The sequence below is a fragment of the Homo sapiens genome, chromosome 6, assembly GCF_000001405.40.
Source record: "Homo sapiens chromosome 6, GRCh38.p14 Primary Assembly".
NCBI classification, from domain to species: Eukaryota; Metazoa; Chordata; class Mammalia; order Primates; family Hominidae; genus Homo; species Homo sapiens.
This window is the reverse complement of record NC_000006.12, coordinates 112,615,466-112,620,296: the sequence shown is the minus strand read 5'-3', so window position 1 is coordinate 112,620,296 and position 4,831 is coordinate 112,615,466. Positions and strand designations below refer to the sequence as shown.

At 41.4% G+C, this 4,831-nt stretch overlaps 1 pseudogene; it reads left to right on the top strand.

Moving 5' to 3' along the window:
* Nucleotides 2,267-4,607, top strand: PA2G4P5 (proliferation-associated 2G4 pseudogene 5; annotated as a pseudogene).

Genomic DNA, 4,831 nt, shown 5'->3' with positions numbered 1-4,831 from the left:
CTGGCTTTCAAGAGAAAGAGATACCATCATCAACACCTGTGTGTTTTACAAAATCTCTTGTTCAGTCTTGACCCATTTTAGTGTTTTAAAATTGTGCATATGAACTTTTACTATCACATGAATAACCTACACCTGAATGGGCTGGAAAAATCACTAGTTTACTTTTATTGCTACCCTAAAGGAGATCTGTCTGCTTACTGCAACCCATAGAAGGAGCACTCAACTCCAGCAGATAAAATTATTATGCCAATATTGTGCACTAGGGTCCAGCAAATGTGTCTGTGCCTGAAAGCGTGACATTAATACTATTTTTACCCATGGTGTCATGGTATACGAAAGTATAAGAATCCATCGTAACTTGATCATGAGAATAATCTGCAGATCATCAGGCCTTACCTATCTGTGGATATGAATTAAGTCACCTTAACATTAATAGTCAGCATTCAGTAAAGGACCTGTTCTTGTTTCTGCCTACAAAGAATCTCAGCTATCTCCCCTACAAAGTTACCCCAATTCATCAAGTATTTCCAAGAAACACTAAGGAGGATTCTGATGTGCTTCCTTAAAGTTAGGCTTTGCTCCATAGCCACCACATGGCATCTACAATATCTGCTTTGCTTTCTCATTGATATCTACTGCCTATAAAGCCATGGGGAAAAATTCACCATTGCTACTACTGACTGTGGCCCTCAGAACAATGCAGAGCCCTTTCCAAAGATGCTTCCAATGGCACAGTCTTCAAGATCCACAGCAGTGTGCTTTCTATCTGTTTTGTTCTCCACCCTGCATTCAGCATTGACCACAACGCTTGACAGAGAGCAGACATTCAATACTCAATGAATAAAACCGATTTTCAAAATTAGATGCTTTTTCTAAATCACCAAAATTCTTAAATGAAGTTATTTTGTCCTTCTCCACAAGTTATGTGACACACTGGGAATTTATTTTCCATTAGAGTAAGAAAGACCATAGTTCACTAACGCTGGGTAAATGCAGTGATGCACTAAATCATTTTTAACAAAGCACCAACATGATCATTTGGTGGGGTATGCTCACTGCATTCCCTCATGCTCTATTGCACAAATATACGTATGTTCCTAAGCTTCCCTATGTGACCTTGGAATCTTTCACCTCCTTGGGTCATTTGCCCTTTTACCAACTTTCACATTTGATTAGCTAATTTGTAGCTTTCCTACAAGTTTATTTATCCTAGATTTTACATTCTCAAGGAAGTTTTTGTGACCTTTTATGCCCTTCCATTGTGCTCCCGTAACACTATTTGGCAATATCTTAACACTCGCCACATGGTGGCCCCACCAGTCTCCTGTCCTGTATCCTCCTCCAGACTCTAGACAGCAGAGTATGTTCTTTGAAGGCAGTGAATGCTTTCTAATTCACCATTGTATCCCCAGCATTTCAAATGAAGCTTGGCAGCTCCTTAGTGTTCCGTGAATATTGAGAATGACCTCTAATAAATCATATAGATATAGTAAATACTTCTTAGATATTTTAAACATCTATAAGACACTTAACAAAGTCGAAGATGATTAATTTAATTAGTCATAAGTAACCATATTGTTTGGGCCCTGTTCAATTAGAAAGCTGCTTGCTATTACCTCTGGCTGGTCAATATGAAGTGAATTACACTCTTGAACCAGTTTGTTAATACCTATTTAACTGCTATTTTAGCTCATTTTACATCCCAGCTATTTTTTCTTGTGTCCAATATAATTCATCTGAAGAGGCTTCATTCTACTCAATCACTATTGCTTTCATGTCATTCATTCTTTAAACATTTATTTATTGATTAGATATTATGTGACACCAGATACTCAAAGTACTAGTAATACAACACTCAACTCCAAGACAGTCAAAGTCTTTACTTTCTTGGTAGTTACATTCACGTTGATGAAGGTAGACAGTAAGCAAATAGCCAATATATCAAGAATACAATAAGAATATGAAAGTGCCAAGGTGAAAATATATTAAGGTGCTATGCCAGTGAAACACCAAGGGACTGCAGTTTAGTTAATCAAAAAGTTTTCACCGAAGTTTGAGTTGAGACCTGAATGGCAAGAAGGAGTCAAGAATGAGAAGGAAGCTCTGGGGAAACAGCTTTCCAGCTGAGGAAATAACTAATGCAAACACCCTAAGTTAGGATCCCGCTTGGCATGTTCATAGAAAAAGAATGTCTTTCTTTCCTCAATTCTCAAAATTTTAAGGTGTGGTATGCTTGTCTCTTTCATTTAAATATCTGTGGATGACGCTCGCCTGCCTGCCCGCTCCCTTGCTAGCTCGCGCTTTCGCTCACCCTCTCCTCAAGGATCCAGGGGGCTCTGACCAAAGCCTGCGGCAAGGAAGGGAGACAGAGGCGGCGGCTCAGGAGAAATGAGGCTGCAGTGGTGGTGGTAGGAAGATGTAGGGTGAGGACGAGCAGCAGAAGCAAACTATCGCTGAAGACCTGGTTGTGACCAAGTATAAGATGGGGGGCGACATTGCCCACCGGGTACTTAGGTCCTTGGTGGAAGCATCTAGCTCAGGTGTATTGGTACTGAGCCTGTGTGAGAAAAGTGATGCCGTGATTATGGAAGAAACAGGGAAAATCTTCAAGAAAGAAAAGGAAATGAAGAAAGGCATTGCTTTTCCCACCAGTATTTCAGTAAATAACTGTGTATGTCACTTCTCCCCTTTGGAGAGTGGCCAGGATTATATTCTCAAGGAAGGTGACTTGGTAAAAATTGACCTTGGGGTCTATGTGGATGGCTTCATCGCTAATGTAGCTCATACTTTTGTGGTTGATGTGGCTCAGGGGACCCAAGTAACAGGGAGGAAAGCAGATGTTATTAAGGCAGCTCACCTTTGTGCTGAAGCTGCCCTACGCCTGGTCAAACCTGGAAATCAGAACACACAAGTGACAGAAGCCTGGAACAAAGTTGCCCAGTAATTTAACTACAAGCCAATAGAAGGTATGCTGTCACACCAGTTGAAGCAGCATGTCATCGATGGAGAAAAAACCGTTATCCAGAATCCCACAGACCAGCAGAAGAAGGACCACGAAAAAGATGAATTTGAGGTATATGAAGTATACGCTGTGGATGTTCTCATCAGCTCAGGAGAGGGCAAGGCCAAGGATGCAGGACAGAGAACCCCTATTTACAAATGAGACACTCCTGAAGAGTATGGACTGAAAATGAAAACTTCACGTGCCTTCTTCAGTGGATGGAAAGGCGTTTTGATGTCATGCTGTTTACTTTAAGAGCATTTGAAGATGAGAAGAAGGCTCGGATAGGTGTGGTGGAGTGTGCCAAACATGAACTGCTGCAACCATTTAATGTTCTCCATGAGAAGGAGAGTGAATTTTTTGCCCAGTTTAAATTTACAGTTCTGCTCATGCCCAGTGGCCCCATGCGGATAACCAGTAGTCCCCTCAAGCCTGACCTCTACAAGTCTGAGATGGAGGTCCAGGATGCAGAGCTAAAGGCCCTGCTCGAGTTCTGCAAGTCGAAAAACCCAGAAAAAAAAAAGAAGGCCTCCAAGACTGCAGAAAATGCCACCAGTGGGGAAATATTAGAAGAAAATGAAGCTGGGGACTGAGGTGGGTCCCATCTCCCCAGCTTGCTGCTCCTGCCTCATCCCCTTCCCACTACACCCCAGACTCTGTGAAGTGCAGTTCTTCTTCTCCACCTAGGACATCCAGCAGAGTGGGGGTCTCCCTGCCTCCACCCCAGTTACCCAACCCACTCCTTTCCAACAACAACCGGCTCCAACTGACTCTGGTCTTGGGAGGCGAGGCTTCCTGGGCACGGAAGACTACTTTAGATGAAAAAAAGAAATTGAATAATAAAATCAGGGGTCAAAATTCATAGTCTTCAAGCCCCTCTTTCTAGCCTTTTCTACTACTCTCTGCTTGGTCAAGGTTTGTGACCCTACTACAGAACCAGGCTAAATTGGCCACCACCACTGAAAACTCAGCCAAATTTTTTTATACCATTCTGATGTTAGCATTTTTTCATCCGTTTGGGGCTTTTTCCTTTTTTCCATTCTCCCCAAGTATTTTATCTGGCTTCAAAATTAGGATTATTTTTCAGATTGTTTTTATTCAGTGTGGCCAATTCCTCATCTGATTCAGGCTGTCCAGCCAGGCCCCTCCCATTTTAGGAGCTGGAGCCTTCATTTATGAAGCGATTCTTATCTATGAAATGGATCTGAATTAGTCAATCTTTTTTCTTCCATTTTCACAAAGCTGTAAAGAAATAATCCATCTCAACCTCACCCTTTTCTCTGGAGTCAGTGGGGTCTTCCCTGCTCCATTCTACAGAAAACTGAGCTGGAAGCTCAACTGGTTTTGTTCACTGTTTGAAATATTGTGATCTCCTTCCCTTGAAAGAAAAACCAAGAACCAGAGGAGTAGACTGTCTGAAGATACAACTCCTAGCTTTCTGAAGCTATGGACTTGGATTAAATTTCTAGGGGTTTGTAGGGAAAGGTGACAAATTTCAGTACATCTGGCATGCTGTCCCAGGAAACTAGGGCTCCTACTAATTTATGAGGTTTTTAAGCACATTGAAAATGACATGACATTAAAATAAATTTGAATTTTCTCATAAAAATAAAAATAATAAATAAATAAATATCTGTGGATAATAATAGAAATAAAATAGAAATGGCCTTATTTATAAAATGAAATTTTACATGCTTTTATTTAATTTTTTTAAAAAAAGTTTCTGGCCGGGCACAGTGCCTCACACCTGTAATCCCAGCACTTTGGGAGGCCGAAGCGAGTGGATTGCGAGGTCAGGAGATCGAGAACAGCCTGGCTGGCGTGGTGAAA